The sequence below is a fragment of the Homo sapiens genome, chromosome 7 (genome assembly GCF_000001405.40).
Source record: "Homo sapiens chromosome 7, GRCh38.p14 Primary Assembly".
Lineage (NCBI taxonomy): Eukaryota > Metazoa > Chordata > Mammalia > Primates > Hominidae > Homo > Homo sapiens.
Window position 1 is genome coordinate 22,987,900 of NC_000007.14, and position 14,121 is coordinate 23,002,020.

At 35.2% G+C, this 14,121-nt stretch overlaps 1 protein-coding gene across 5 annotated transcripts in view, besides 3 other annotated features; it reads right to left on the bottom strand.

Moving 5' to 3' along the window:
- Positions 1-14,121, bottom strand: part of HYCC1 (hyccin PI4KA lipid kinase complex subunit 1) — a 118,288-nt gene that overhangs the window by 92,057 nt on the left and 12,110 nt on the right. For all 5 annotated transcript variants that reach the window (XM_011515590.3, NM_032581.4, NM_001363467.2 and 2 more), the window contains exon 2: positions 3,162-3,240. In XM_011515590.3, the coding sequence (XP_011513892.1) occupies positions 3,162-3,212 (51 nt within the window). In that variant the 5' untranslated portion in view covers positions 3,213-3,240. The remainder of the gene's footprint in view (positions 1-3,161; positions 3,241-14,121) is intronic.
- Positions 1,017-1,528: an enhancer, noted in NCBI's record as "NANOG-H3K27ac hESC enhancer chr7:23028535-23029046 (GRCh37/hg19 assembly coordinates)". NCBI's record gives its function as "activates a minimal SCP1, AML or CMV promoter by ChIP-STARR-seq in primed H9 embryonic stem cells {active_cell/tissue: H9 hESC(primed)}" and the evidence as "EXISTENCE:reporter gene assay evidence [ECO:0000049][PMID:30033119]".
- Positions 1,529-2,039: an enhancer, noted in NCBI's record as "NANOG-H3K27ac hESC enhancer chr7:23029047-23029557 (GRCh37/hg19 assembly coordinates)". NCBI's record gives its function as "activates a minimal SCP1, AML or CMV promoter by ChIP-STARR-seq in primed H9 embryonic stem cells {active_cell/tissue: H9 hESC(primed)}" and the evidence as "EXISTENCE:reporter gene assay evidence [ECO:0000049][PMID:30033119]".
- Positions 5,070-5,149: an enhancer, noted in NCBI's record as "active region_25713". NCBI's record gives its function as "activates an Ori minimal core promoter by ATAC-STARR-seq in GM12878 lymphoblastoid cells {active_cell/tissue: GM12878}" and the evidence as "EXISTENCE:reporter gene assay evidence [ECO:0000049][PMID:35858748]".

Here is a 14,121-nt window from a genome sequence, read left to right on the forward strand (position 1 = left end):
AGCAGAAGCTTTTCTAGAAATATGTATGTAACCAAAACCTTTCTTAAATATTTTAACAAAAATATGTAATTTAACACCAGAGATTTCAAGAGATACGTTACTCTAATTTTAAAAGTACTTAGCAGACATGTTCCCAAGCACTTTTCTATATTCTATTACCTCTGGTATGCTGCTGATTTTGCCTGATAACCTTCTTCTCTTTGTCAAACATAGAGCTGAATACAACACACATTAACCCAATTTAGAATAACACTCCAAATAATTATCAGGAATGCCTACCAAATTAACCAAGGAATGGGAAATATCCCTCCTTGAACTGGCTATAATACAGATTTGAAGATAATTTAAAACATTTGAATATCAAATTGATTCAAAATTGGGTAAAGTTAATCTTGGGGTTGGGCAGGAGAAACTACTTAAACTACATTTTATTTCCTGCAGGCCATGATTCACTCTCTCCTCCTAAAGGAAAAGTTTCCCTATGCTTGCATTAAATTTATGAAAAATGTTAATAAAATATTGTTACCCACATAATATGTTATATTGATAAAATATTACTTAAATAATATTTCCTATTTATTCATACTCTGGTTTCTTGTAGTGGAAGATGGTATTTGGAAAACAAGATCTGGGAGCTTAGTGTACTCACTGCGACCAGGGTGCCATTGTTTCTAGGTCCTCCCAGTGAACAAAGCTAGGAGATATATGCATGCATACATGTACAGATACATACACACATATGTATCATATGCATACTTAGAACCCATGAGTTCATAATGATTCCAACACAACACCTTAGAGTTCTTTCTTGGCTTTCGCTGTTCCATGATTGTAATTCCTTTTTCAGACAGATAGAAATCTAACTCCCATTATCCTCAAAATATTTACTTATTTCTTCAATCAACTTATTTGCTCAATGTAACCAATCTACCAATGTAACTACTCTGGCTATTCTTCTACACGCCACCTCTGCAGCCCTTCACCCCAACCACCTACTTCCTCAGACACTACTGCTGTTAACCGCTGCTCTGCCCCTCACTCCTCGGTACTGCACTTCCTAGGTGTCTATATATCCAAACCAGGAGGGGAAGGGAATAAACAAACAGATGGAAAGGGAAGGAGATCAGTCATGGTTTTCCATTTTTTACCTTACTAGCTGATCTCACCCCTACAACCCACCCTTTAACATGCTCTCTTTCCACAACTCCCATCTTAAAGAATGGATAGCTGTCGACATTTGCTTTTGCATATTTTACTTCATCATTAACATAAGAATGCCCTAGAAGAAATAGCATTCAACTGTTAAACTTGACTATTTCCATCAATCTGCCAAAAAAAAGCCGTGATAACAGACTATTTTAATCACAAAGATAACACAAGCAGGAAACACACACACACACACACACACACACACACACACACACAAGATTTAATCAAAGTTTTTTGTTTTGTTTTGTTTTCTTTCAGAGACAAAAGTCTCATTCTGTCACCAGACTGGACAGCAGTGGTGCCACCATAGCTCACTGCAACTTTGAATTCCTGGGCTCAAGTGTTCCTCCCAACTCAGCCTCCCAAGTAGCTGGGGCTACAGGCATGCACCAACACGCCCAGCTAATTTATTTATTTATTTTTTTTTTTTGGAGAGAGGGGGTCTTGCTGTGTTGCCTAGGCTGGTCTTAAACTCCTGGCCTGAAGCAATCCTTCCATCTCTGCCTCTCAAAGTGCTGGGATTACAGGCATAAGCCACCTCATCTGGCCACAAGTTATTAAAATATGTAGAAAGCACTTCTGTAACATTCTAATGTCACTTCATGATGACTTGGGGAATCCATAGAAGGATGCTCAATTCATGGCTATAAAAGCTGAGAAAGTAAAAGTCTGCCCAGCTATTCATCAGGATTAGATAAAAGAGACAGATAAGGCCAGCTATTAAAATTAACAGGAAACGGTGCTTTTCCTAAATACACACTGCAACTGAAAAATGTCATAACAATCTCCTTCTTTGAGTGACTACTAAGTTCTTACTTACTAAGATGACTTGTTATCTAAAATCACAGATTATAAAAAAGTTTGTTGTTGAACATGTATCAGTAAGAACAAAACATCCCACTCTTGCCTAGAGCATCGAAGTCACTTTGACATAGAGAAGCAGCCTTGATTTTCAACCCAGGTGCAGAGATATAAATATGGAGTTTCTGAACATAACATTTCAAATCTACATTAACTTTGTAGTTTTCAAGACAACAAGATCCTGGGTCTACTTTGAAGGCCAGACCAGATGTTCACCCCATTATAAATAGCCCTGCTTTGTTTTGAGTCTACCAGAATACCGTTTCATTTAAATTTCACCTAAACTCTACCCTTCCTCCAAATTACTATAATTTTATCTTTTCTTTGGTTTGGTGAGATGGTCCCATGGTGTCTGTTGGGCAATCTCTCTCAATGCAACAAGCCAATAAGCCTGACTTTGTCAGACTGTAACTTTGTCCTTATAGGTCTTGGGCTGACTGGGCTGGACAAAATCAAACTGATAGTTGCAGCCCAAACTCTTCATTCCTGTGGTTCATGATCATGCAAGTGCACATAATTATGTGTCACATAAGGACAGAGAAAAGTAATTAGCTGATTAAAGAAATACTATTTTAGCTATCCTAGAGAAAAGCTCATGAGACAAGAAAATATGTTTTATTTTCTTCATTAACTAATCAAAGGTCATACACCCCTTATATAGCCACTGGGTTAGCCAACTAGAGAAAGATTCACTGGTATAAAGTTGAGCAAATATCTTCCCATCCTCTCCTCATTGTTGGTCACCCCAGTTCCACTGCCCTCCAAACTGGAAGAAACATTTTGACAATGAATCACTGATGGTCGCTGGAGAATGACATCAACATTCAGAGACTTTAACTACTTTGTGGTATTGCCATGAAAGAAAGAAAATAAACAAATGAATAAACTCTTTGAACCACTTGGGGGAAAAAAGGAATCAATTTCCTAGAAAAGATTACTATGTGTAAATAACTCTCTATTGAGATTTGATAGAAAATACTTCCACAGATATTTAGCCTTTCAGTCATATAAAATACAAAAATCACTGGAATTTAAACGCCAGACAAAACTTCCTTGGAATATAATTACTATAGTAGAACAGTAAATATTACCTTAAACTCTGACAACCATTCCTCCACAACCCCTTTCTCTGAAGTAAACATTTTTCCACATCTGTTCTAAACCTTCAACCTGAAAATTAACATAGAAAAATGTTAACGTTTTGAATATATTTTATTTAGTCAGATTACTATGAACAGAGATAATCCTATAAAGTTTTTACTTCATATTTGTGAAATGAGTTTCAAACATAAATTACTAAATTCATTTCAAAACCAATGTGCACAAACAAGCCTTAAAATGCAAGAATTTTGACAAAAGTATAAATATCATAACATGATGAAATTGGCTCTCCAATTTTCATTTAGTTTTCAGGAATGCCAGCTGCAAAACATATTGGACATTTTTCCCTAGTTTCAATAAAATAATTTCAAAAAGATCATTTATCTTAAAAGAAAGCAGAAAATATTTCAAAATTGTGAAAATATAAGAAGACACGCATCCAAAATTGACTTTATAGAAAGCATTAAAGTAATTTAATTTGCTTATATTTCAGTTCTTTACAACAGTAACTAGGCAAGCCATGTGGTTTCTTGAAAGTGTAATGTTCATTTTTTAAAAAGTAAAAGTGACAATATTCAAAATGACCATATTTGACAACAGTGATGCAGAAGACTGGGATTTACTTAAGTATAAATTTAAAGAAGTAAGCTAAAGGAAATGCAGAACAGTTTTATCTCAAGCAAAATGTTTGTCAAAATACAACGTATTTTTCTTTACCTATCCATTTGTATGGGAGTAGACTTGGAAACTATTTCCTGACGGAAAACTTGAGCTCTATCTGAATTTCCTAACTTCCAAATTCAGTCACAAATCCTTCATTAAGCTACTTAATTTTCATCAGCATTATAAGGTAGTAGAAACTTAGGTAGAGTAGCCAGAAATGAATTCTGATTCTATTACTTACTTGGGTAAGATATATTTGCCTTACTTTTTTTTAATCTGCAAAATAGGGATAATGACAGTACCTATTTGCAAGGAGTTATTGTGAGGAGTACATTTTAAAATGCAAATAAAAGCAGTTATTTCCATTCCTGGCAACAAACTATTATCACTATGCAATATTATTATTATTATTAATTCTTATAAACTCTGCTCAGCTGTCTACGAAAGTATCCAGATATGCCTTAATGAACAACGCAGGTTCTTGTCAAAGAATACATTCTAAGGTTCCTGCTGTCTAATTCTCATAAAAAAACATGATTAAAACATTTTTTGGTCATTCATTCATTCATTCACTCATAAAAGATTACTTGGGTAATACGCATTTTATTTTTAAAATAAAAAATATTTCTCCTTGGATCAAGTCAGACTAACAGAAAACCACATATATGTACTGTATTATTGATTTTATAGAACTGTCTGTTTGGAGAAACTGGGCTTTGAAATTATGTCCAAAATGTTACCAAAGCACTGCTAGATGACATTTATCCTCCTTAAAAGCCAACAGAGTCTAGAAAATTCACATCTTAAGTTTTCAGTACTAGGAAAATCTCTCCTTTGGAGTAACTTGTTTGTTTTTATATTATGAATACTGTGAGTTTCATAACCAATTCTCTTTGTCTTACTGTTATTTTCTGTCTGCCTGTATCTACTTTTTTTATGTTGTTATGTATATTTGTAAAGCAAAGCCAATATAAATGCACAAAAGTTTTCTTTTGTATGAATTCCATTGTTTAATAAATTAGGACAGAAAGTTATCACAAATGGAACCACACTACATCAAGTTACATAGAAATGGGGAGGTAAAATTTTTACAAAAATTCAAAATAACTCTCCAGTTAAAATTAAGGTTAATTTTTCAAAAATTAAAAGAAATCAAGAGGAATATACAAGGAACCAAGAACAGTCAAGGGCTGTCTTGAAGAACAACAGAACTGTGGGACCTGGACTTCCAACAGCAAAGCTTAGTATAAAACTTACCAAAAACTATAGTAATTAAGCCAGTGGTGGCACTGTCAGAAGAATAGAAAACAACCAATGGAACAGAATAGAGTGGCCAGAAACAGACCCACACATATATGGTCACCTGATTTATGACAAAAATGACACTGAAATTCAGTGAGGAAAGGATGCTCTTTATAATAAATGGGGCTAGGTTATTTGGATAGCTACATGGGGAGGACAAAAAGAACCATGACCCTAGAGATCATGCTGTATGCAAAAATAAAAACAGTTTCAGTTGGACCACAGATCTAATTGTGAACAGTAAACCATAAGGCTTTTAGAAGAAAATGCAAGAGAGTACTTTCATAATCTTAGGCTAGGCAAAGGTTTCTTAAACAAGAGGCACAAAAGCACTAATCACAAGGAGGGGAAAAGGATAAACTGGACTTCCTTGAAAGTAAGAATTTCTACTCACCAAAAGATACCACTAGGAGAATGAAAAGGCAAAGCCATAGGGTGGCAGATGATATCTGCAATTCATATACATGGCAAAAGTCTCATATCCAGAATATATAAGGAACTCATAAATTATTAAGAAAAAAGGTAGACAATCCTATAGGAAATCAAGACCATCACTTACTCAAATGGAAACTTAGCACATGAAACGTGCTCAACTTTGTTAGTCATCAGGGAAATGTCAGTTAAAACCCACAGTGAAATACACCATACAAACACACACACACACACACACATACACACACACACGTACGCATGTGTAGCTAAAATGAAAGATCACACCAAGTGTTGAAAAAGATATGGAGCAATCAATATTCAGACACAGCTAATGTGAATGCAAATTGGTACAATATCTTGGAAAACTCTTTAGCAATATCCTCTAAACTTGAGGATATATACATATACTCTACGAACCCAGAAATTCTACCCATGTTAATACTCAACAGAAATGAGGACATATGTTCTCTGAAAGCTATGTTCAGAAAATGTTCATCTGAGCAATAGGCTTTTGTTTTTGTTTTGTTTTTAGAGACAGAGTCTCACTCTGTTACCCGGGCTAGAGTGTAATGGCGCTACCACAGCTCACTGTAGCCTCAAATTCCTGGGCTCAAGGGGTCCTCCCACCTCAGCCTCTCAAGTAGCTGAGACTACAGGAGTGTACCACATGCTTGGCTACAGCAGGTATTTTTTAATAGTCAAAAACTAGAAACAAACCAAATGTCCATCAGTAGTTGAACGAATAAATTACAGTATACTGTACAATATCTGAAATTCTATACAACAAAATATAACTTTTAATGAATAAACTATATCTGTGTTACAGTGTTGGATAAAAGAATGCAGGAAAACAGAGTACATACTATATAATTACATTTATGTAAATTTCAAGAACAGATAAAACGAATCCATTTGTGTTAGAAGTTGGGATAGTGGCTGCTCTTGAGGGGCCTATCTTGTCGGTTCTGATAACAGTCTGTTTCTTGATCTAGGTGCTGGTTACTCAAGTGTATACATTTGGTGAAAATTTGCCAAGCTAAACATTTCATAAACTGTACATTTTTCTGTATGTATATTATACATTAGTAACACCAGTCAGCCCTGGGTCTCTTATCTTCCACTTGATAGAGATCAAATGGGAGCCCTCATTGTATAGCTGAGCTCACATGGACACTCACTTGTTTAGCACGCATGCAAGCTCAGAATAAAATTGTTCCTCCCCAAACTTCTCTGTCTCCTGCAGAACTCAAAAGGGAGTCTATGACATGCCTCCCTATCCTGAAACTTTCACAGTCTCACCACCACTGTCTGCTTTAGGTCCACCAGGACTAAAGTCTTTATTCCCTTCATCTCTGTTTATGTCCAGCACCACAAGAAGCTACAGACACCTAGATGACACTCATCTCACACACTAGTCATCATAACTCTTTGTACATCTTCTGTTTTGCTCCCATCTCCCATCCCATCCTAATTCTGGAAGGACGATATACTTCCATGGGTCCTCTGGAATTTACAGTCTATTACCAGCAAAATCCTCTACATCTTCAACAGTTCTTCAAATGTTGCTTTCTTCTTTTCATGAGACACTAGTTTCCCTGCATGCAAGCTTACCAAATAGTGATTGCATTTCCTCACACATCCCTGAAACAAACCACTGGGCTTAGAGGTAAAGTAGGTGTTCTCCTTTCTTCTTATTACCACTCAAGATCATTCTCTTCCTCCTTCAACCATCCACCCAAAGCTGCTTTGAAACTCTATCACCATCATCTATCAATCAATCCACCCCACGCCCTTGCCCTGCTCGGTCCCTCCCCTTCATTTCTGGATGATCTTAGCTCCTAGCTCACTGTCATGCTTTCAAACAACTCCTGCTTAAATCTTGGTGATTTTTTTTCTTACCTGAAGTCTAAATTCCTAGAAGTCTTAATTCCTAGAATTCTCCTCCTACAATATTTTCTTCCTATCTGCCTCAGCTACTCAATCCTACGATCAAAGTCTATGATCATAGCCTAGACCACCTGTTTTCAAACATTTGGGTTAGGGACTCTTTATACTCTTAAATATTAAGCCAACCTGAAAGAACACCCAATGGCCAAAGCTGGAACAATCCAAGCAACAGAACAAGTAATGTAGTACTGCATTATAACCCAAAGTATAAAATAAACATACATGAGGCCATACTCATATAAATAAATGATTAAATAAATAAGAGAATAGGAGATAAAGTTTCCTTACGGAAGAATTCCCAGTAACAGATGTAGACACTATCTCTTCCAGGAGGTAGAGCTTAGTCCTTGCTCCCCCATTGAGAGTGCACTGGACATAGCTATTCACTTGCAAAAAAAGAGAGTACGGAAAGAGGAAAAGAGTAACTGTATAGTGGTGAAACCGGGCAAGCACTGCCTTGATCTAAGCTAACATCAACACGACGTCATGTGAATATCAAGTACCATTCAAAATGATTACAGACATGAGCCACCGTGCCTGGCCCCTGGTAAGTTCCTTTTAACTATAAAAGTAAGAATATCTTTAGAAGAGAAAGTATGGCTGGGTGCGGTGGCTCACGCCTGTAATCCCAGCACTTTGGGAGGCTGAGGCAGGAGGATCACTTGAGGTTAGGAGTTTGAGAAAGACTGGCCAACACAGTGAAACCCCTCTGTACTAAAAATACAAAAATTAGCCAGGCATGGTGGCATGTGCAGGTGATCCCAGGTACTTGGGAGGCTGAGATAGAAGAATCACTTGAACCCGGGAGGCAGAGGTTTCAGTGAGCCAGGATCAGACCACTGCACTCCAGCCTGGATGACAAAGTGAGACTCCGTCTCAAAAAAAAAAAAAAAAGAAGCAAAAATATACAAACATTAAAAATGAATCCTGAAATATCAATGCATTATGTAGGAAAGAGAATAATGGAATTCTATAAAGTATAGGATAATTTTTTTATTTCAACTTTTATTTTAGATTCAGGAGGTACATGTGCAGGTTTGTTACATGGGTATACTGTGTGATGGTGAGGTTTGGAGTACTATTGTAGGATAAGTATTTAAAGAAATAAAAAATTAAAAAGCCAACAGTGTTTACTAGCTGACATAAGCTTTTCTTTGTCCTTACCACGTACAGTACAATTGTTAAAAAAAAAAAAAAAAAAAAAAAAAAATTCTTTCCATTAGCCCTGGGCTTCAAGATGAGTAACAGTTCTGACTAAAGGTATCAGTAAAGCTTAGATAGGACAAAAAGCAAACTGGCCACAAAATGATTTAAAAACTGTTTCTCTCTACCAGCAAGCAGCAAGAGGCTCTCTACAAGTTGCTAACCCACCCCCACATTTCATATATAATATGTAACCTATTAACATCTATGCCAAAGACTTGACTATATAACTCTGCAAGCTTTATAAATCTAATTAGACATCTCTAGTAATATTCAAAATATACTTGCATTTGTAAAAACTTTATTCTTCTCAAAGATAAAAGAGACAATTAAAATACATGTTTCCTGCTGTGTAACTAACTTCCTATTTTTGCCAAACATGTTCCGGAGCAGAATATTTAAAATTACATTAGAAGGCTTGCTAGGAGTCTATGTAGTATTTCACTAGCCCAATAAGTCTGTATAACATTAATTTTTTATATTTTCAATGTACAATAAAACCTTTCTAAGTCAAATGTCTTATTCTTCAATTCCCACATTATGTTATTAATAACAATTACCAAAATTTATCTTTTAGTGTTGTCATCAGAGACATATAACATTTTAATTATTTTATAAGAATATTTTAAAAGTATTTGTAACTTTCACTGTAAAACTCTAAAAATTTCCTTATTCCTATCTTTTACATCATCCCCTTCACCATTAAGCACTAACGACAAACTACTATAAAACTTTTTATAACCATTTGTTTTATATATCATTATGAAGCTTAAGTTTCTATAAATTTATAGAGCAACCAAATTTCTATAAATGGATTGTGACACATCACGAAATTTTAAACTTCTCTCCTATGCAATGAGGCCATTGCTGTAGTTAAATTAAGCGCTACCAGAAGATTATCAAGAATTCCTGGGTGAATTTCAGGAAAACAGAATGGAGAGAAATGTTCAGATTATGTTACAGAATAAAATTAATTTAATTTTAGGATTTTGCTGCTTAGAAACTGACCAATCAATTGTGAAGGAGGACAGTATATGTGCTGTTGCTTAAAAAGAAGTGTTGATGCCTCACTGCCTACCTAGGTCATCAAGTAAATAAAGCTGCCTCTCAAGGCACCAGGAGAAGTAATATAATTCATAGTAAGAGAGGTTTGGGAAGTCTTTCCAAAGGCCTATTACTTAGGCCTATTTTCCCCAAAAATCACAAAACAAGTGTCTGATTATCAAGAATAGAACATAGGTTTTTACTCTATAAAATGGTTTTTGGCTAAACCATCTTTTGCCTACCCCAAGGACAAATAAGATCATGTTGGGATATCAGTGTGCTGTGGCAACCAGCCCAGTGTGTTTCTGTTGGAAAAGCTAGAACAATTAGAAGGTAAGAAGTTCTTTCTTCTCATTTCCCATTTCTATCTTCCTGTTCTTCTCAGATCCTCCATGACTTCAGACAAGATCAGGCACGTTCAAGGTGGTATGGTCATAGACAAGATCCTCCAGGACTTCAGAAGAACATTTTTTCCAGGGAAAGGATATCTGATTTGGACTCTAATAAGAGAAGTTAGGAAGAACTATTTTTTAATAACCATGTTGACCAAAAGAATGCAGCAAACAGAATGCTATGAAACTTCTGAGGCCAACAGTTACTGCTCTTGGATTTCTATTGCAAATATTCTCCCTCTTTTTTGAGCCAGCATTCAAATAGCCTTGACTAAGATCATGTACAATTTATTAACAATTTAGATTTCTTTTAGATAAGAGCAGACAGAATGGTGAGATCTCTGGGAACTATGGCACTACGATGAGCACTTCTTATTGACATTAACATAGCACATGACTCAGTGGTTCAACATTTTTTAAAATTTTTTTCAAATAAAAATTATATAACATAATTTTTAAGTTTTAAACTGTATTAGTAACTACAGGCAAATTTCAGTCCAGATACTATAAGCATAAGTAACATACAGCAAGTATCTAATAAATATTTATTGAATAGAAGAATAAATTTCACCCTTTATAATGCCCGTCAAATTTACCATCTGCTCTCCATCTCCACAGCAACGCCCTGAGTCTGGGCCCTTATTTCCTCTGCATCTGCTGATCACACAGCCTTCTGGCTCCTGATTTCTTCCCTTTTCCAGTGCACCATGCATGTTGCTGCCATATAATCTTGCTGAAACTTCTTTTCTCCTGAACACACCATGACATCAGACCTCACAAATCTTCTACATCAAACTTTCCCTAAAATATGGTCATAATTTACCTATCCAAATTTTACTTAACACTATTCTCCAAAATAATCCATGCCACTCCAGGCTCCATGTCTTTGCCTATGCTTCTCTTCTCTACCTTCCTTTCACTCCTCAGCTTTTACACCCTACCTAGGAAAAACTTGGGGCTCTTATTAATGAAATGCATGCATTGGCAAGGTAAGCTGCCAGGAGAGAACTGGCACTGCATCTGTGAACCAAAACAGCATCATCTGATTATTTTAAAGACTGATTGATGCAGATAATCTTGACTTAGAAAACCTCTTATTAGAATGTTATAAGAAATCTTAAAAGTCCATTAATATGTTATGTATTTCACTAAATATAAAAATATCACAAACAAATTATTTTACATTTAATATTGGGTAAAAATCTACAAGAGCAGTTATTGCTGAAATAAAGCTTTCCAAAATGTTTGCACCACCTTTTACAAAATATAATTACAGCACATACTAAGTGATTCAAGTATTACCTCAGTGAATCAAACTTCAGTAAGCCCTGATAACTAACATACAAATGATAAAGTTTATGTTAACAGATTTTAAGAGATCAGTGTAAAAGTGCTGAACTATAATAATTACCTCAATCACATTCATTAACATGATTATCACACAATTGCATATTAAATAACATGGTGATTAGAAATGCTTTCTACATATTCACTGAACAGGATGTCAAGTCGACAGCCCGTTCATATAATTTATCCAGACAGTAGGCTGGGCAGAGTCAGAGTAAGAGCAAAGAAACAGAAGTAGCAAAAACAAACATAGAATGGGAGGTCGTATATGCAAAAAGTCAATACTAGTATATGTTCAAATTGCAACATTAATAATTCAGCAAGCCCTTGATTGCCTGCTGAGTATAATGCAAAGTGTTTCTATTAGTTTGCACCATTAGCAAAAGAATAGTAAAATATGATCTGTGTCCTCAAGGCAATTGTAATCCAGATGGCAAAGGAAAAGCAGGGAATAGACGAGAGGAAAATAAGTCAAGGTAGCACCTTACATTTTCTAGACGAATAATTGCAAGGGCCATCATGAGAAAATTATCAGAAATACACAAAATCAACAATGAAAAGTTTAAAACAAGGGTTCTGCTCACTATGCAACTATAAAAGATTATAAAAATTCCACCAAGAAAGAAAATAAAACATACACAAAAACTATCAACACCTAGGGAGAAAACCGATCTCCCATCCCTGCTAATATTTTTCTTTACGGGAGATTTTTTTAAATGGCCACACTTAAATCTTTTCCACATAATTAAAATAAATAATCATCCTTCTCACTGCTGCTATCCCACTCTTCAAAAGAAAATACTGTTAACTTTATATTATTTCAAACTTTTTTCTACACATATGCTATATAATCAGCAGTTCTGAAAACTCTCTACTCTTAAAAATATTGAGCAGTATATCTAAACCAAAACAAAATATATCTCCTCAACCAAGAAAAAGATATCAACCAAATAATATATTTATATAGATAGGTACCTATCTATATCTATATAGATATCTGCTCAACCAAACAAAATATATCTGCTCTATCAAAACATGTACATATGTATATATACACATATACACATACATGTATACATAGTCCATTTATATTTTGATTTTAACATAAAAATACAATCACATTCTACCAAAACTTGATTATTTTTCACCTAATATATCATGGACATTTTTTAAAAATATGTGGTACACTATTACTATTATATTTACGACCTTCAACAAACGATCTCTCCTGTTATTTAGTCCTTTGTATAGTCCTCCTCCACATCAATGCTGGAATTGGCAAAGTGACATGTTTTTGCCAGTGGAATTTAGCAAGGTGCTGCAAGGAGAGACTTAATAAGAGCTTCCACCTAGGGCCTGTCCTCTTGAATAATCCCTCTTAGAAGGCAACCACCATGCTACAAGAGCTGAGGGATAGACATCTGCATAAGAAGCCACATGAAGACAGACCTCGGAGGACAGCAGAAAAAAAAGGCTTTCCTTGTGAAAATTTAACTAACTACTTGACAAAGTTAAAGAAGTTTTTTTTTTTTTTATCAAAGGACTTTTCAGAGCCTTTAATATGCTAAATCTGTATTATTAATCTCTAAGAAAAGCATTTGGAATGAAATATTTTCCTAAATGTATTTGACCATGGGATCCTTTGCTGTCCATACACAACTGGCATCATTGGGAATATGGTCTGGAAAACACTCAATGTGACCAAATGTGTCATACATAGCAATGGTAGATGTCCATAGATAATGTTGTGATAATGACTAACATTCCTCAAGCACTTATGTTTCTGGCACTATGCTAAGCGATTTATTGGAATTTTAATTGAATTCTCATAGCCATCCTAGCTGGTAAATTAACATAACCTCTATTTCACAAAAAAGAAAGCTAACACTTAAAGAAGTAACTTGCCCAAGATCACACACTACCAAAGTGGTTAAGTTAGGGTTAGAACCCATGCAGCCCAATTCCAAAGACCCCATTCTAATCACCATGCTATCAGCAATCCCTACCCATGGCACCTAAAACAGTTCAAAACCTTTCCCTTGTCTCATAAATAATTTACTCTGGTTTACTCTTTTCTTCTTCCTAATATTTTCATTCTAAATTGAAAAGTAGGATATTTTCATTTTAAAATAAATTGCTAGGGAAAAGTAAATTATTCAGATGATTGTGTTTGGCAGCCAGGTTGAGAACTATAGGGTAGTAAAAGAACATGGTAGGGTACTGGAGAAAAAGTATTCAATTTACTTAGACCCAGCTCTGCCACTTGCTAGCATGTGGTTGCAGTATTTTTCTCAGTTGGAATGAAGGAAAAGAAAAAAGATGAGAAAAATCTATCAACTGGTATTTACCACAGTGCCTACATACTGGTAACAAGAGTGATCCAAAAACATGGGTGTGACTGAAGTTGAAATGCCAAAATTAGACCAAAATTCTTATTTGCCCCTAAGTCAGAGGTTTTCTGTTTGGTTTTGGTTTCCTTTGCTTTATGGCAAACATTTTTTTTTTTTAATTCTGGGGCTGAGACCTTTGTTCAGTTCTCTAATTTAGTTTACCCTACTTTCAGAACTCTGGGAAAACTGCCTCCAAACGATGAAAGAGCAAATGTTTTGCTTTTGTATAT